Source organism: Homo sapiens, chromosome 2 (assembly GCF_000001405.40).
Source record: "Homo sapiens chromosome 2, GRCh38.p14 Primary Assembly".
NCBI lineage: Eukaryota > Metazoa > Chordata > Mammalia > Primates > Hominidae > Homo > Homo sapiens.
This window is the reverse complement of record NC_000002.12, coordinates 133118961-133137981: the sequence shown is the minus strand read 5'-3', so window position 1 is coordinate 133137981 and position 19021 is coordinate 133118961. Positions and strand designations below refer to the sequence as shown.

The window sequence follows — 19021 nt, the reverse complement described above, 5'->3', positions numbered from 1 at the left end:
TTTAGCTAACCAAGATTAGATTGTACGACCCCACCTCAGCCAATGGGGAAAGGGTACAGGGGCAGGACTTGCGTCAGGAATAAAGGCTCTCCTGCCCCTTTGTTCAGGTGTGTTCTCATGGCAACTGGCCAAGGAGGCACCCCTCTGCGCGGAAGTAAAATTGCTTTGCTAAGAATCCTTTGTTCGAGTGTTCAATTTCCTTAGGATTTTGAGCGGTATTCCTAACACCTTCATTTTATCTTGCTTTTCTTCACAACCCACCCTGGAAAAACTCCTTTCATCAAGTTCACATCTCTATCCCTTTGCTAAATAATAAGGACATATATAATCTTTGTCTAAGAAAATTTAGTCATATGGGGTGCTTCACCTGTGCCATTTCTGTTATAGAGCTCCTGTCTAGCATTGAGGACATTTTTAAGATCCATCCAAGTGCCCATCTGTCTTACTTGCCCTTGAAATTTCTACCCTCTACCCCACCCTTCTCCTCTTCTGTATTTATTTATCTCACCCTTTCTCCTTTCTTTTCCAAAACACACACACACACACACACACACACACACACACACACACACACAAAACCAAGCTCTGCATCTTTTTTTAGTTAGAATAAAAGCTTTGTCTCTCTTGGGTGATGTTATCAGCACTGCAGATATATACTTGGCTGTTTCTATCCTTGCATCTCAAAATCTGATTCTGATTCTTCTGTTACAGCCAAGAGTACGGGTTTTTAAAAAATCAATCCTCAAGTTCCTTATCTGTTTCTCTGCTTCTAGGATGACCAAATCTTTCATAACTAATGGGGATATTGAATTCAGAGAGCTTTATGGTGAAACTGTATTGCAATATGTGTGCAAAACAAAAACAAGGCTACAATTAGATGTAATAACTATAGCTTAATTTAGATCCATTTCATACTGGCTTGACAGAGTTGGTTAATAGAGTTTTCCCATTAAAAACTAGTTTTCATGAAGACATTAATTTTTCTGCTGATGTGTTTGGCTTATGGACTTCTGAAGAAAAAACACAGGTGTCAATTTAGATTCTCAATAGGTAGGGAGAGAATTAAAAGGATTGTTCTGGGTCTCCGTGTAATTCTTAAGATGTTTGAGTGCACATTGGATGTTGGTTGATGAATACGTGGAGATACCTGTGACTGGGCACGTTTTCTAGTTGGTAGCTTGCTTCTCAGTTTCCACATTTCTCAAATGAGCTCATGTGTTTTTCTATCAATATACAGGAATATCATTGAATCCCTTTGTCCTTCTCTAATGGCCTCTATTCATTTCTTACCTTAAGATCCTCTTATTATCCAAGAGTACTAATGTTTTCCCCATGATTCTTTGGTCATAAAGTATGACTCAATTCGAATATTATCACTTGGACACATTTCAGGAAATCTTTTGAAACAGACATATAGCGATTACTTCTCAATTATCATGTATCTTCAGACATCAAGCCAGCATAGGACACCTGAGATGAGCTGGTACCTCATGACACTCAACGAGGCAGGACTCACGGAGGGCTTGGAGCCTATGTGGGACGTGCCTCTTGTTATGCCTGATATGTTTCGTCAAATATATGCCACATAATGTGGTGCTAGAATTTCCAAGCCAAATAAATTCCTCTTTCTTTTTCATATTTTTGAATTGTCTTTAACTCTGGCAGTATTACCACCCACTGATATAATGAGAATCACCAACTATAATTAGACCTAGAATAGAGGTATTTATTGGCTTTCCATATTTGAATCAAGTGTTAATATTTTAATTTCATTCTGAAGTTTTCTCATACCATACATCAAGCCATCTGTTTGAAATCATACTAGGAAATGAGAATAAAAAATAATGTATTTTAGGGAAGGCCAAACACAGGGTTATATATATTCTAGATGGCATTTGTGATTAAGTTATCCTCTCCATTCTTACATCAAAATCATATTTAAAATGTGTTTTCTTTCAAGATTAATGTATGATCTGCTTAGACACACATTTTTGAACTTTTTGAAATATCTATGATTATCTTTAATATGTAATGGTTATTAAAGACAAATGTTATACAGAGTTTATCAAAAGTAGCTGAAGTATATTAGACAATATAAGCTGTACAATTTTAGTTAGCCATATTTTATTTTTATATAGGACTTTTGAGTTTTTGAAGTGCCTTACCATACATTATTTCATCTATTATTCACAATGATACTATGAAATTGGCTTGGATGAGTTCACCGTCCCCAGTATGCAGAGGAAACTGGCTTAAAGCAGTTAAGTTTTAAGTTAAGTGGCTTGTTCAAAACCACTTCTCTAGTAAATGGTGTGGTACAAACTAAAAGCTGGTAGCATTATTTAATTTATTATATTTATTTTAAATATTTAAATATTTATATAAATGTTTTCCCATTCTATAATTTAGCCTGTTAGTTCTTTCTCCATACCGTAGTCAGAATGAACTTTGCCAAATCTGAAATCATCTTCCTCACTTGATTAAGCCCTTGGTAATGAGTCATCATTTTACCCAGGCTACAGTCCCAAATCTGTCATGTCATGTTCATGGTCCTACGTGGTCTATCCCTTATTCTTTTCCACCTGCGTCCTATGCCACTCCTGTCCCCTGGCTCACCAGCTTCCAGCCACACTGGGCTTCTCTTCCTCCCTCCCTACACGACAAAGGGCTTTGCACTTGCCTCTCCCTCTGCCTGCAGTGCTGGTCCCCTCTCTTCGCCTGGTAGCACCTGGTCATCACAGAGGTCTCAGTTTCAATATTACTTCCTCAGAGGCCTTTCCCTGACCTACCAAACAAAATCAGTTTCCGTCACTTTCACCTTTCAGCATACTCTTAATTAACAATCAGTTTATACTGCCGTATTTATCTGTGTGATGTTTATTTAGCGCCAGCCCTCTCCATTAGTCTGTAAGTCTAACGAAGCCGGGAACCATGTCCATTTGACTCATTGTTGGTTTCCATCTCTAGTTCAGTGTTTGGCACATAGCAGCTACTCAGTAAACATTTGTGGGCCAAGTAAGTAAACGACTCCATGTTGGGGGTACATAGCTGCTTTTACACGCACAGTTCTCTATTAAATTAGAGAATTATCAGAATCTATATAGATTTTGCTTCATTTCCTTGGAACATGCATGTAGAAAGGACCTTTTGATACTTTAATGATTTAAGCAAGTTTTACAAAATTATCAGGAGAAAAGGTCAGAAACATAGATTACCCAGGGAAATGGAGGAATCTCCTGCATTTGAGGTTTAATCAGAGGATGGCTCAGTTTGAGCTCTGTTGCTATGTGTAGGCTATGAGGTATAGACAAGATCATTCTGTAGAACCATGGAGGAAATACCTGTCTTTCTCTTTGTATGTTTGATTCTTTGTCTAGAACTTAACTCTTTGCTCATGTCCAAATAGGAAAAGTATTTTGGAATTCCACTCTTGTTTTGGACTTCTTTTTCTCCACCATGGTGTCCAGTCAGCTCTGGTATAACATGTGTGTTACTGAAAATTACTGCACTCTGTAAAACCACACAGTGAAAACCACAAAGCTTTTGGGGGAAACAGGACTATGGGAAAAATACTCAAAACTTTGTCAGTGACACACTAAAAACAAAAAGGTAGGAACCTAATACAATTGGCAGCCATGTGTTCAGTGGTTAAAAAATACATAAATACTACAATAAATATGGTGCTTTACCTTGAAAGAGTTTTTTGTGGAAGTGGATATCAACAGGGATGCAGTTCAGAAGTTACTGTGAAGTGGTGGAAGGAACGCTGTCTGAAATTGGAGGGGAAGTTGTAAACACCACATGTGGATGGTTGTGGCTCGTAATGCACACAGTGGACTGAGGTCTGTTTGAAATATGTGTTTTGTGTGTTTCGATGCAGTTCAACTGGGTGGAGTTTTCTGTGTTCACCTAATTTTTCTCATGAATGAAATCAGGCAATCGGCAAACCTAAGATTTGTGTCATGCTTAAATTTTTTCACAACATATCAGTTGCATTGGAACAAATTAGCACTTTTAAAAGAAATGTTACAGCAGAGCTGACAGTAGTAGGGGAAAAAAGTGGGAGACTTAGGGTCAGAAAAACTCAATTCTAGCTCCAGAGCTGCTATTTCTAACCATGGAAACAGAGCAAGCTTCCTGCCTCTCTTTTCAGTCCTCTGCACTTATCTTTAGATGGAGGTGATAATAACCACTATTGCTGAATTGTTCTGAAGACTGAATACAGTAATGAAGGTGGACACATTTTGTAAAATGTAAAATATTCTCCAGATTGAAGATATTTTTTGCAGAGTTTGCTCATTTCGGAGTTAGAGACAGCAGCTAACGAATAACAGAGTTGAAAGTTAACCCACTCACAGCTTTTCTTCAGAAAAACAGGGAAACCTACCTTTTTACTAATAACAAAGCTCACCTCTGTAAAGGGAAAGAAGAGCCTGTGACTGGCAAGTTTTGTTGAACATGTATGTAATGTCACTGCTTAGACTCAGCCTTTGAGCTGTTGCTTGTGTTCTGGTGCAGCGATTTGAGATCTTTGCTAAGAGAAGCCAAAGAGAAAGGGAAGAGGTGACGAACATGGAGCATCTTGCTCGAAGAACATGGGAAGAATTGAAAGGTGGTGATTGAGGAGCTTTGAAAATCATCATGAGGCTCTCCTAGGCAGGTGTCTTCAAGCCATCCCAGCTCAGTGGCTCTGCAGAAAGAGAGCTGTTGCTGTGGAAATGTGGTCCTGTCAGATTTGTAACCCAGATTCCCAGGATATTGTCCTCTACTTATTGCTCTTCAGTACCTAGTGGCGTTGTGTAAATAACAGCAACTGTTCTCCATCTCTCATTGCCTTTCACACTTTCTGCTGGGAAAGATCCAGAGCCAACATTTGGGAGACAAATTAAAATTACTTTGGGGATAGATCAATTTATATCCAGAATATAGCGAATACAGAAAAAAAATAGCCAATCTATTGATACTATATTTTTTCTATGTGTAGCCTGTTTTTAAATTTGGGTACAGGCTGGGCGTGGTGGCTAACGCCTATAATCCCAGCACTTTGGGAGGCTGAGGCGGGCAGATCACAAGGTCAGGAGATCAAGACCATCCTGGCTAACATCGAGAAACCCTGTCTCTACTAAAAATACAAAAAATTAGCCGGGCGTGGTTGCGGGTGCCTGTAGTCCCAGCTACTCTGGAGGCTGAGGCAGGAGAATAGTGTGAACCTGGGAGGCGGAGCTTGCAGTGAGCTGAGATCGCGCCACTGCACTCCAGTCTGGGTGACAGAGAGAGACTCTGCCTCCAAAAAAAAAAAAAAAAAATTGGGTACAAATATTTTTCATATTTAGTAGGTGTGGATTATTGTCAAGTTTTGATGGATTAATAGAAATACACGTCATTTGAAGGGAATATATTTTAGTAAAAAGCTTTTGCCCTCATAGTCTTAATTCCTTAGAATTTTCTCTGTGTTATCAGGGTTTGTGTGTGTGTGTGTGTGTGTGTGTGTGTGTGTGTGCTTTTTTTTTCATGTTTTAAAAGGCATAAATAAATTGAAGAGAAAAGATTATTCATGTGGAAAAGGTTCTCTCATGATCATGTTTTTGGGACTCTTTGATATGGCAGTGAGTGAATCTATGGAGCATTCTTTGCTTTTGAAGGAAGGAGGGATGCTGTTTTCTCTGCAAAACTTTACATTCTTTTTTTTTTTTTTGAGATGGAGTCTCGCTCTGTCACCCATGCTGGATTGCAGTGGTGTAATCTCGGCTCACTGCAACCTCCGCCTCCTGGGTTCAAGCAATTCACTGCCTCAGCCTCCCGAGTAGCTGGCATTATAGGCACCCGCCAACACACCTGGCTAATTTTTTTATTTTTAGTAGAGACGGGGTTTCACCATCTTGGCCAGGCTGGTCTTGAACTCCTGACCTCGTGATCCACCCGTGTCAGCCTCCCAAAGTGCTGGGATTACAGGTGTGAACTTCACATTCTTCGTAGCATGTACTTTTGAACTATTTAGCGTACATTTTTTTTTTGGCCTGTTTCTGGAATCGAAGCACTATCTTCCAAATTCTGTAGTATTGGTGACTTGTCCATGTTTCTTTTAGTCTAATCAGTCAATAAAAAGAGGAATGTCAATTGTGTATATAACCATAAAGAGTTTATTTTATTATAGTAAAATGTATATAACATGAAATTTGCAATTTTGACCATTTTTGTAAAGAGTTAACTTTAATTAACCCATTTATCTTCCACAACCACATTTTTCTTTCTTTCCAGCGCTTCCAGAATGTCATTTTCCAAAGTGACAGAATAAAGATTTGATTTTAATTTTGATTTTAGTTTTTCTGATTTCAGTAAAAGTAACTGATTATGGGAGTTAAAAGTAGACCATCAAAAAGTCAGGCCTGAGTAAGCAAAAGGCCAGCTTCAGAATCAATAAACAAATATATTTCCAGCACTACTGCATATTAGGTAATGTGCTAAAAATGTAAAATATATCTGCACATAAGGCATCTTGAACAAATATTTATCCAGGTGGAGAATTATGATAAATTCACATGAAAAATAACAGTAGAAAAAGTAAAGACCTAAAGGGTGGTAAAGATGGTAGGTGATGTTGGAATTCAGGGAAGGGAGGAAATGCAGTGATGAGGGATAAGTTGTAGAGGACATGGCTTGCAACTGAGCCTGGAAGGAACCCTAGGCTTTCAACCGAGAGACCTAGGCAGCTTTTCACGCTGGAACAAAGGTACAGAGGCAGGAGGATGTGTAAGTATTTTTAGAGGATCAGGATTCACATCTAGATTCTAGTCTAATGTTTCTTTCATGATCCTCAGAATGCCTTTTTTCTCATGAGTTAGAGCTGGAGAAAATCTGTCATTGCTATCACTTCCTGTGAATATGCCACATGAGATGAATCATATTTAATCCATAGTGCATGGTACACAGTCATAGTGTTTGGTTTATTTCAAAACAGAGGTCACTGTTTGCCTTCTTTCCTTTTAAGTATATATGTCCCTCATGATCAGACATTGCATGTATAGTTTTCATCATAGAGTGTATATCCTGTGTACAAAATGCTTAGTGTAGTAACAGCAGTAACAATAACAGCATGGCATGCTTTTTAAAAAAGGCAACAACAACAACAACAACAAAACAAAAACAAAACAACAAAGACATTAGTGTAGCTGACTCAGTGCTATCAGGAGGATCTGAGCTGTGTGCTTTTTACCAGTTCCAGGAATGAGTTTCTGCTGAACCGTCTATTCTGTGTCATCCAGTTCCTCTTTCAGTCCCTGATACCCGTTCGTGAGATGAGCTAGTTATCTAGGATTATAAAAACAGTGGGTGGCTTGGCCTAGTTTTATATCTGAAGACCTAACTGGACAAAATGAAAAACAATTCTTGAGCCTCACCCTCATCAGCTTCACATTCTAATTAACTTGAAATTTTTGGTCCTTCTATAAAAGTAGTAATTTTCTCTTTCAAGGATATACCAGAGATGGAAGAGATGAAATAATTCTGAACAGGTAATAATCTTACTAATTATTATCTGACTTATTGTGCATTCAATAGTATTTTTGGGTCATAGTTCTTCACAGGATGCTCTCTGGGTTAGTGGAAATTATTCAAGTGTTAGAATTAAGTCACCTGGGAGTCAAGATCTATTACCTTCTGGTTTATATGACCTTGCACAAATTACTTAGGTGTCTCTGATCCTTGGTTTCGTTGTCTATAACAAGAGATTAAGAATAGGACCTACTTCGTGGGGTTGTTCAAAGGATGAAATTCATATATATAAAGCTCAAGTTATCACTTGATAACCAGCTATTTCTTATTTTTGTCATAAACACCTTCCTAAAAGTCATCCCCTTTGTGTCTTTTATAGCATGAGAAGCTGATACATGAACTGGAAGAGGAGAGACACTTACGTCTTCAAAGCGAGAAGCGGTTGCAGGAGGTGACCCTAGAGTCTGAACGCAACAGAATTCAGATGCGTAGCTTGCAGCAGCAGTTCTCCAGGTATTGTTCTTAGCTGAGCAGATTGCTTCCTGAGGTGCATCTCTCTCTGCACCAGTAACACCTTGGATTGAATGTCCATTGAGTAAGCTTCTGTTGTGTTTGATGAGCTAATTTACCAACCATTTAGACCTTCTGTTCTGACTGAAGCATCCTATGGCATTCAGACCAATTTTCTGAAACTTTCCATTTGTACCTGACATGAGCTTTATTGAAACTGGTTGTCTTTTCTTTCCTGATGGCTTTCCTAAGGGTCTTCAAGTGAGTTGTGGTGGCTTTGCAGCCAGTAGGCTTGTCCTTTAAAAGGCCAGCCAAAATTCCTCAGGGATCTAGAACTAGAAATACCATTTGACCCAGCCATCCCATTACTAGGTGTATACCCAAAGGATTATAAATCATGCTGCTATAAAGACACATGCACACGTATGTTTATTGAGGCACTATTCACAATAGCAAAGACTTGGAACCAACCCAAATGTCCAACAACGATAAACTGGATTAAGAAAATGTGGCACATATACACCATTGAATACTATGCAGCCATAAAAAATGAAGAGTTCATGTCCTTTGTAGGGACATGGATGAAACTGGAAACCATCATTCTCAGCAAACTATCACAAGGACAAAAAACCAAATACCACATGTTCTCACTCATAGGTGGGAATTGAACAATGAGCACACATGGACACAGGAAGGGGAACATCACACTCCGGGGACTGTTGTGGGGTGGGGGGAGCGGGGAGGGATAACATTGGGAGATATACCTAATGCTAAATGACGAGTTAATGGGTGCAGCACACCAGCATGGCACATGTATACATATGTAACAAACCTGCACATTGTGCACATGTACCCTAAAACTTAAAGTATAATAATAAAAAAAAAAAAGGCCAGCCAAAAGGATGAGATTTCAGTGGTCATCGCAATCCTATTTTAAGACAAAGAGAGAGTATGTGACTCTAATGATTCAATAAACTCTTCCTCATTGCTTAGAGGAAACACTAAGGAGTAGTAAAAAAAAAAAAAAAAAAAAAATCAGTGAGTTTCTGTCCTTAAAAAGATATCACTAGAACACTTGAATGTGGCCAGACGCAGTGGTTCACGCCTGTAATTCCAGGACTTTGGAAGGCCAAGGTGGGCGGATCATTTGAGGTCAGGAGTTCAAGACCAGCCTGGCCAACATGGCAAAGCCTCATCTCTACTAAAAACACAAAAATTAGCCGGGCATGATGGCAGGTGCCTGTATTCCCAGCTACTCGGGAGGCTGAGGCAGGAGAATCACTTGAACCCAGGAGGTGGAGTTTGCAGTGAGCCGAGATTGCGCCACTGCACTCCAGCCTCGGCAACAAAGCAAGATTCCATTACAAAAACAAAAAAAAAAAGAGAGAGAGAGAGATCACTAGAATCTCTCTTTCAAAGAATTTGAAAGGAAGATTCTGAAAAAGTAGCTCCTAGATTTAATTCTAGCAGTTGGAATCTTTCAGTTTCCAATTATAGTTAATATGAGGGTAGGTGATGGTTCAAACTATTATGTTAAAATCCCTTCAATTCCATGGGAGGAATCCCCCAGAAAACTGTGCATTTACAGCCTTGGGACCAGATATAGGAACCTTGTGAAGGACAATCTGCATTCATTTCTATACTTCACCATTTATAAAATCAGGAAAATAATTTGTTTCACTTTTCTCTCCTGAGATTATCCCAGGCAGTATCCATGTTTGAGAAGTTGCCCTAAAATCGTCATGAGAAAACTGTGTGGGTCTTGTCTTTAACTTTTCACCAGGATTTGGAGAACACTGTGACCGGTGATAAATAATATAGCTTTGTCATTATGAAGTTTTTATAATGACAGCTTAATTTTTAGATGTGTTGCAGGGAGAGAACAAACACAGTTGAGCCTCCAGATAATTTACCTCATTATGGCCAATACTGTGTATGTGCTTCAACTTTGGTGTAGGAGTTCATGGAGGAACAGGACAAGAAGGATGGATGACTCCTGTGTGGTCAGCATTATAATTTAACACCAGTTCAACTCCTCAAGTCCATGATAATACACAGGTGCTATAGAAATACACCAATCAATACTTTAATAAATGCATGTCCCACCCCTCATAGGCTATTACTTATATCACCTTATGCTCGATTTTTCATTCAGTTTGATGGCAACTCTCCCTTTGTGTCTCCTAACCAACTTAAAATAATAGATCCACCCCTCCAAAGTGAATTTAAAACAAGCACTGCTTGGTAATATTGGTTGTTTTAATGGCACAGGATAGGAGGAGGCAGATCTTGCTCTCTTTGCACTGTCTAATTGAGATGTCTCTATATTCAAGCTATAGATTTAGGTGGCAGGAGACACATGGCATAGTAAATTATATTCATATGATGCTGGGTCTTCTGCTGTAAATCAGATGCCAATCCCCTACAGATTTAAGTTACACAAGAGCCAAGACTACATCCTAGGCTGAAAGAGAAGATAATTATGTGTACAATAAGTAGTGGTTGGTTTTTACATACTTCTTTTGTGAAGGACTTTTATCCTATTATAATTAGTTTTCTCATGTAAAGTGTCATTGAAACTGAAAAGTTCAAGTCCAGTTACAGCCAGAGAACTAATGCAAATCAGTAAAAGACATGGAGGGGAAAAGCATATGTAACAGATAATTACACAATAATTTGAGTAGACCTACTGAACCATTTCTGATGGCCTTTCACAGTTTAAACTTTGGTTTTTAAGATATTTCTAGTTATGTTTAAATAATCTTATTAAGTCTTTGAAAAATTCTCAATATTATAGAATAAGCCTTTATTGCATCACCCTTGGACGGGGTTAGCATCCAATATGGTCATCTAAATAATTTCCATAATATAAATTATTCTGTTGAATTAGAAACCTTTATATTCATAATTTTTTTCTTTTTTTCTCTTGGGCCAATGAGTTCATTTTGTGCATGATGATATCTGGGATGTGAAATTACTTTTGAACATTGTTCATGGGCTGAGGTTACTTTTAAAAACTAAGCTAATAACCACTTTCTCAAAGAATGTGGTATGGCTTACAATAAAAGGTAGATTTACAATAGGGCTGATAAAATAAAAACAAAATAAAGGTCATGAAAGGAGAATGTGGCAAGTTATCACCTTCACATAGCCCAACAAGTTTTCTGAGTATGAGCATGTAATTTAGCTCTAAGATTCCTGGCAGACAAGATCAAAAGAAAAAAAGAAACAAGTAATATGTAATTATTATCTCATGGCCAAAGGCTACTACTCCTTAAAGAGAGGAATATTATCTCTGTTAATAAATTCATAATAGAATGTATCACATAGAACACTTTATAGAAGACACTGAAGGATACAGTAGACGTGGCCCAAAATGGTGCAAATTAGGATTAATTCTTGCAAGGGCTGCTGCTTTCACTATGTCACTTATATCTGGAAAGTTGAGCAGTTTTTCAATTTCCTAATATATGGAATAAGAATGCTGGGTCATGTCTAAGAGATCACAAGTGAAATAGGAACTACTCCGGTACTCTGGTGCTTAAAGTTCTCAGGGCAACCATTCTACTTCAGATTCATGGGAATCTCCAGATATATACATGTGCTTTTCTAATACTATGAATGTGGGAAACAGAGGCATAAGATGCTGACGCCTGGCCCAGGCTGGGTGATGTGTTTTATTGGTATGTTTGATGGCCTTGTAGGCATGGGAGTCTCTAAACAGTAGTTATGGGATTCCCAGTCTCAGCTTCAGTAACAAGGTGAGTCAATGGAGGGAGAAGCGGAGAATGAAGTTAGATGCTGGGACAGTTAGGTACACGTGGGAAGTAGAGTTCAGGTGTCAGGATGAGTGATTCAGGAGAGGTGGTCCATGGCTTAATTTTATGCAGTTTCAGCTGTGTGATGAGCCTGATGGCTTGAAGGCACCAGGCAAGCCTGAACATTTGTGATTGTCTCTATTAATGAGTAATGGGATCGCTGAGGTGATAAAAATCTATACAAATGCTTGAATGAGTAGTTTTTTTTTTATATCACCACCAAACCTTCAGCCACAATCTGTTCTTCCCTCTTGACCTCTGATTAGGCTATAATGATCAGAAATGGTCCAAATTTAGGCAATAAAAAAAAATTGGATATGCCACCAGAGGTTACCTAATCAGCCATAAGCTCATACATCAGAAATTGCCTGCAATGAGGGTGATTCAGACAGGCATAACAAACTTGGTTCAGACCATTTACATTCTTTAATGTAAATATGGATAAAGAAAGGTACTTGCAAATTAAGCCTTCACAGTTGAGAGAGCACTTCAATAAGGTAGTAGTTAGAGGCAGGTGGTGATATCTTAGGGCTGCCACTTTATCTTATTATTTGGCAATATACATCAAAGGTGCTTTCCAGATGTGAAAGTGATTGTTTAACCCATTGTCTGTGTGGCTGGGCATATTTTATGAGGGGTTAGCTTTGTAACTATCTAAAATTCCAAATTCTTCCCACTCTCCCCACTCCTCTAACCGCTTGTTTGAATTGTGATTGTCCAGACAGCCAAGGTGAATGCTGTAGATGAGACTATGGAACTGTCTTCCCTTGTATGTAAAGACAATCACTGTTTGGACCCCTGGATTTATTATCCATGTTGAGGTAATGAAGTGTTTGTGTATCAGTTAGATTCACCTAGAGGAGCACTTTGAGGAATATTGTCTCCAAGTTAGGGTGGGGTACGTTGAGTTGAAATAACAGTGATTTACAAAAAAAAAAAAAAAGGTAGAGTAATGGGATCACTTAGGTGATAAAGTGAGGAGATAAGCAACTCTACAGAGTACCAATTTCATATATATAATTGTGCATATCATGCAGGATTTGCAAAGGTATCTCTGTTGGTCCCTTTGGAAATAATCTAATCAACTTGTAGATGATGATGATGATTATTATTATTGAGACAGGGTCTGGCTCAGGTTCCCCAGGCTGGAGTGTAGTGGTGCAGCCTCACCTCGCTGCAGCCTACACCTCCTGGGCTCAAACCATCCTCACACCTCAGCCTCCCAAGTAGCTGGGACTATAGGTGCGTGTCACCACGCCTGGCTAATTTTTGTAATTGTGGTAGACGGAGTTTTACCATGTTGCCCAGGCTGGTCTCAAACTCCTGGGCTCAGGTGATCTTCACACCTCAGTCTCCCAACGTGCTGGTGAACCACCATGCCAGGCCCAGTTTGTAGATTAGTAATGAAAGCTGCTATTTTCAACAGGAAACAAACACTTTTATTGTGTGCCTAGTAACACCGTTTATGCCCTCAAGAAAAAGTAGAATTTAGATAGAGAAGTCTTACGTACATATATGAACAAAACACCGTATTTATAGCTTAGCTGTAAATAAAGAGGACTTCTGTCCAGATTCAGAACAGCCAGACTTCATACTTGTTAATGGTTTATTATGCTGAGGCATGAATAGTCAGATGAAATTAATGATTGCATAGTGACAACAGTAATACTACACATTTTATTGTGTCACAGCTCTGTGCTGCAGCGTGTTTGAAGATTTAAATTAAAATTGATCTGGGAGATTTAGCACCTGGCGGACATAATTTGTAAACATTCTTAGCAAACCATTTTACAACCCAAATATCAGGAATAAAGATACTTGATTTCAGGCCTCTTCAGCCTTGAAATGTTCCTTGTGTGTTTACACCAGTCATTGTACCTCTAAATAAGGGGGAATAATTAAGGTTTGCCACCCATATTTGACCAGGATAGTTAAAAATCACCCACATGGAACTCAAGCTTTCACTCCCTACCTTCAGGATTTCTTTGCACCTGTTCTGACCTTCTCCCCTGGCACCGTCATCCACAGCCTTGAAGCTATTTCTTTACTTACTGTAATGGGGATTCTCCTATCACAGTTGATTGCTGTGCTTAAGTGCAGTCTGCTGCATGCTGAACTTCAAGGAGTCGTAAATGGAGATGGTTTTACCGCTTAACTCGTTCATTCATTGCTGTTCACATTATCGGTTCTCAGAGACTTTATGGAATCCTAGGGTTCATTTTCTGCTGCCCATTTGGAAACTGTAGGCACCTGGCATAGAAGTGTGTGTTGAAGAGGATAATATGCCCTTAAATGTTCTACCCATGTACTCCCTTCTGCTTCTGTATCTGGTACATTAAAAGAACATTTTCTCTGCATCTTTAGAAGGAGGAAAATGTAACAAGATGAGAAAAGCTGTCAATTGACCTTTGGACAAGCATCAGCACAGAGCTCTTCTCCTCTTCTGCACTTGTTCCCATGTCTGACTGTTCGTCAACTTTGACCTGTCTCAGAGGCTGGCTCTCCTGAGTGCCTTGCTCCTCCTGATGAATACAGAGGGCAATTTTCTGTTGATTTGGAATTGCTATTTCCACATCATCAGCAATATTTCTGCCTGAGACTTTTCATAAAAATTGGGGCCTCTCATCTGCTGCTCTGTGTGAATCTACCAGAAGTTGAAGATGGTAAAGCAACATTGGTTCAAGGATAAATTTTCTTCAAATTACAACAGATGGAAGAAAAGATTTTAAATGACCTCTTTTAAAATGCCTGGATAACATAATATGGATCATATTTTGGTGTCAGAAGTTTGTATCTTAGTGATCTAGCATGTAAGCTCTCCCTTAAGCAATGCAAAGGAAAGCCAAAACCAATTATGTAGCAAACTGGAAAGAAAGGCTGTTTTCGGCTCCTTGGGCAAATACTAACTTACTGAAAGCTGAACATTACTTTATTGTTTTGTATTTCTCTTTCTGCCTAATAAATGATGAAATGGTCACATGTTTCTTCTTAAATTTTTTTAAAGAGGTATATGTTTTTGAGTAGACAACGTGAAAGTCATGTTGCCTATTATTCATCCCTGTAGAGAAAACAGTATTAACACAGAGTATAGTTCCAATTTCATTGCAAAGAGCACTATCTTATTTAATGGGTTGTCCAGGACCTGGTGTCAGTGTACCTCTAAGTAGCTTAATAACTCTGGTTAAGTAATTTGACCCTTTTGGGTCTCAATTTGCTCATCTGTAACATGAGTAAATTCAATTGCATTATAGTTTTATAATGCTTTTTATGCTTTTTAAAAGGCCCTGCATTAGAAATGAAATGTACTTACTTATTGGGTGAAGTAATAATTTCACATTTGTAACCAGGCCTTCTTGAAGATTCTAACAATGAGTTTTATGTTGAGGTCTTGGAGGAGACTGTCTTATTGTCCATGCTGTAATCACAGGGAGGCTCTGTGGGACTGGGTTTTGGCCATGTCTATTTTGGTTACTTGACTCTGGAGAAGTTGAGATTAGAAAACTGCCGAGCCTAGATGAAAAATTTCTGTTGGGAACAGCCAAAATTAAATACTGGGGAACTTGGCTGGCAAAAGGAAGTTAAGATACTCTGCTGTGAACATATAACCAAGATTGCTCTTGGCTCTGATGTTGTCCACTTTAGGATTTATTTGAACTGGTTTGGTAAAAAGTCTAAACAGAGATAACTTTATGACAACCAGAATTGTTTTCACTTTTTAACAATTTCTCTGAAGAAAGAGCCATCAATAAAAATACCAATGATTTAGTCTCTCCTCTAAATATGTTTTAATAACATATTATAACTTCTGATACATTACTGTTCCTACTCCAACACATTTTTTCCTTTAAGAAAATGTGTGAGATACAGAATAATGTTTTAAAACTGAAAACTGAATTGATTTCTACTTTCAATAATAAATGTTTTATTTTTTGGTGTGGTTTATAGAAAATCCACTTTTCTTACGTTTATAGTTTAGATAAGTTTGGACAATCATTGACCCTCATGTAACTACCACCACAATTAAAATACAGAATATTTTCATGTCCTGGACCAGTTCTCTCCCTCCCTCTTTGTTCTCATTTCCCTCCCAAGCCCCTGGTAACTACTAGTCTTATTTCTCTCCTTATAGTTTTGCCTTTTCCAGAAAGGCTTATAAATGACGAAGTCATAAAGTATGGAACTTTTTGGTCTGGCTTCTTTGACTTTGTGTGATTCTTTTTTGATGTGTCCATGTTTTTGCAAAAATCAGTAGTTCATTTTCTTATTCGTGAATAGTATTCTGTTATGTAGATATACTACTATTTGTTTATTCATTCACCTGTTGATAGACATTTGGATTCCCTCCCGTTTTGAGTGAATGTGATTAAAGCTGCTATCAACATTCATGTCCAGGTCTTAGAGTGTTTACCTTTTGGGAAGATAACTAGGGTGGGACCACAGAGCCATATAGTAAGCATTTGTTTAATTCCATAAGGAACTGCCAAACTGTTTTCCAAATTATCTGTGCCTTTTTGCATTTCTACTAGCAATGTAGCAATGTATAGGAGCTCTAGTTGCTTCATATCCATACATGCTTCTTCAAAAACAAAACATAGACAAAGGAAGCCACACAAAATAAATAAATGTCTGGCTTAAGGAATAATTCTAAGGTGAATGGCTTTGTAACCAACGCTAGGTCAAGAAAGGAGACTCTGCCGGCCACCCAGAATCCCATCTGGGTACCTCTTCTCAGCCTCAACCTTTATCTTTTTCCAATAAGCTATTAGTGTGACCTTATGGCAATAACCCTCCTGTGTTTTTAATAGTGTCATCATTTAATGTGCATTCCCAGACCCTTCAGTTTAGTCTTGTGCATCTGTTAAAAAAACAACTGGATATGTCTTTTAAGTTTCTTTGAACCTACAGGTTACTGTCCATCCCTTCCTTTTCCTTCATATTTTATGCGTTAAAGACCTATAATATTGGACCTGTAGAGTTTCCTACAGTCTAAGTTTTGTTGATTACCGTACTTGGGACTGGGCACCATGTTTTTCTGGCATCGGTATTTTCTACAAATTGGCAGTTATTTTCATACATTGCTCCTAATAGTGATCTAAATAAAGAGTTAAAGGTCGCTGCCTATCCAGGGGACATTGTTTGTTCCCCTGTTCCTCTCTTATACAATCACCAATAACCTTTGCCATCATAAGCATTAAAAAAAAATTTGTTGATTGAAGAATGAATGAATGAATATCTTCACTAAAGTAGAAAGATGCAGCCAGAATTCTGCTAGACTTAGGTTAAGCATATAGAAGAATTTTACAGATAGTGTGTTTATGACAGAAATTTGCTTCCAAGGGAGGTTGTAGAATGGCCATTTCTGGGGATCTTTAAAGTTTTGATAATAGTCATCATTCTTAGAGTTATAAACTGTGATGGCCTGGGAGGATGAAGACCTGATTTCTCATCTCTGGGCTTCTGTGATGGAGTGCTCACCTATAAAAGATGAGTTGCCTCTTTCAGAATACTCTTTGCAGAATTCTTTCTGCAGGGCACTAAATGGAATTTGGTGAACTGAAGGTTTACTTCCCATAAGCTAAAGTTTACTTTCTGAGAGTGTTTTATGGCTCTCAGATAACATTTATACCAATCTCTCTAAGGTTTGCATATGGGGCAGAGGCAGAGGCAGCAGTCCCAGTAGTATAGATTGTTGTTCTGATTACCTTTATGGTCCATAGGCAGTGCATTTAATGAACACTGTTCCCACATAGTATAAGTCTAAGTGCTAACTGTAAACAGTTGGAACCATTCTTTGGGATCCTTTATTTAATTCGTGAGAAATAATTCTGTTAAGATGGTCCTTGTTTATAAATGTCTACATCTGTTGCTAACAAACAGCCTCAAGCTTTTAAGAATGTTTCTTAAGAATGAAGCAGAGAATTAGCTATGCTGAAGCTATGGGGTTCTGACAAAAGAAATGTGTTGTAGTTTTCATTAAACTGTGTTTCAGAATTCTTTGCACATTTCTCCTGACCAAAGGTTTTCACCTGTCATTTGCAGGAGTAACAACTGACAGCATGCATTTTCTCAAGACAGAAATATACGTTTCTTTTTCCTTGTTTATTTTCTGTAACCGCTTTAGCAGTTGTGTTTTATAATAAGCATTTTAATTAATATTGATATCCCCATGGTTACAGAAATGACAGTACTTTTTACTTTTATGTTTTATCATTTCCAAAATCATTCCCTATGTTATTTCATTCATTTCTCATTATAACCTTACATATGATAGGGAGAGCCTATTATATGATATCGAATCATATATATTAATAATAATAAATATTATATTGAAGCTTAAAAAATGAGGTAACTTGCTTATGATCACATGGCTATGTGGACCCCAACCCAGAACCCAGGGCTTCTGACTTCTGGTCACACACTCTTTCTGTTCCATCATTTATTTGTTTTGTAGTTTATAATCTGTAATAGAAAGTGGAGGTTTTTTAAATTTATTGATAGATAATAGATGTACATAATTTTGGAGTGCAAGTGATATTTTAATACATTCGTATAATTTGAAAATAGGAAATTACTGGTATTGGGATTTCTACCACCTTAAATATTTATCTTTTGCTAGAAACATTCAAATTATTCTCTTCTAGCTATTTTGAAATATACAATAGATTGTTTTAAACTATATTTACCCTACTGATCTAAGCAATTGTATTTCATGCAGAATTCATCCTTTCTCATAGATTGACATGCTCTGCCACCTACAGAATTTCTTGAACTTAATTATTATCACCCTGCTGAGATTGCACCTAAGAGACTCTTGAGCCAGTGGGATAGATACAATTATAGCAAATTAAAAGGAAAACTGGGCCAGGCATGGTGGCTCACGTCTGTAATCCCAGCACTTTGGGAGGCTGAAACAAGTGGATTACCTGAGGTCAGGAGTTTGAGACTAGCCTGACCAACATGGTGAAACCCCATCTCTACTAAAAACTACAAAAATTAGCTGGCATAGTGGCAGTCACCTGTAATTCCAGCTACTCAGGAGGCCGAGGCAGGAGAAGAATCACTTGAACCCAGGAGGCAGAGGTTGCAGTGAGCTGAGATTGCACCATTGCACTCCAGCCTGGGCAACAGAGGGAAACTCCGTCTCAAAAACAAACAAACAACAACAAAAAACTGGGCAACCACCATTTTTCTGTTTCAAAGTT

At 38.2% G+C, this 19021-nt stretch overlaps 1 protein-coding gene across 19 annotated transcripts in view; it reads left to right on the top strand.

The window, feature by feature from the left end:
- Positions 1–19021, top strand: part of NCKAP5 (NCK associated protein 5) — a 1003049-nt gene that overhangs the window by 536855 nt on the left and 447173 nt on the right. For all 19 annotated transcript variants that reach the window (XM_017003975.3, XM_011511100.4, XM_047444134.1 and 16 more), the window contains one exon: positions 7871–8004. In XM_017003975.3, the coding sequence (XP_016859464.1) occupies positions 7871–8004 (134 nt within the window). The remainder of the gene's footprint in view (positions 1–7870; positions 8005–19021) is intronic.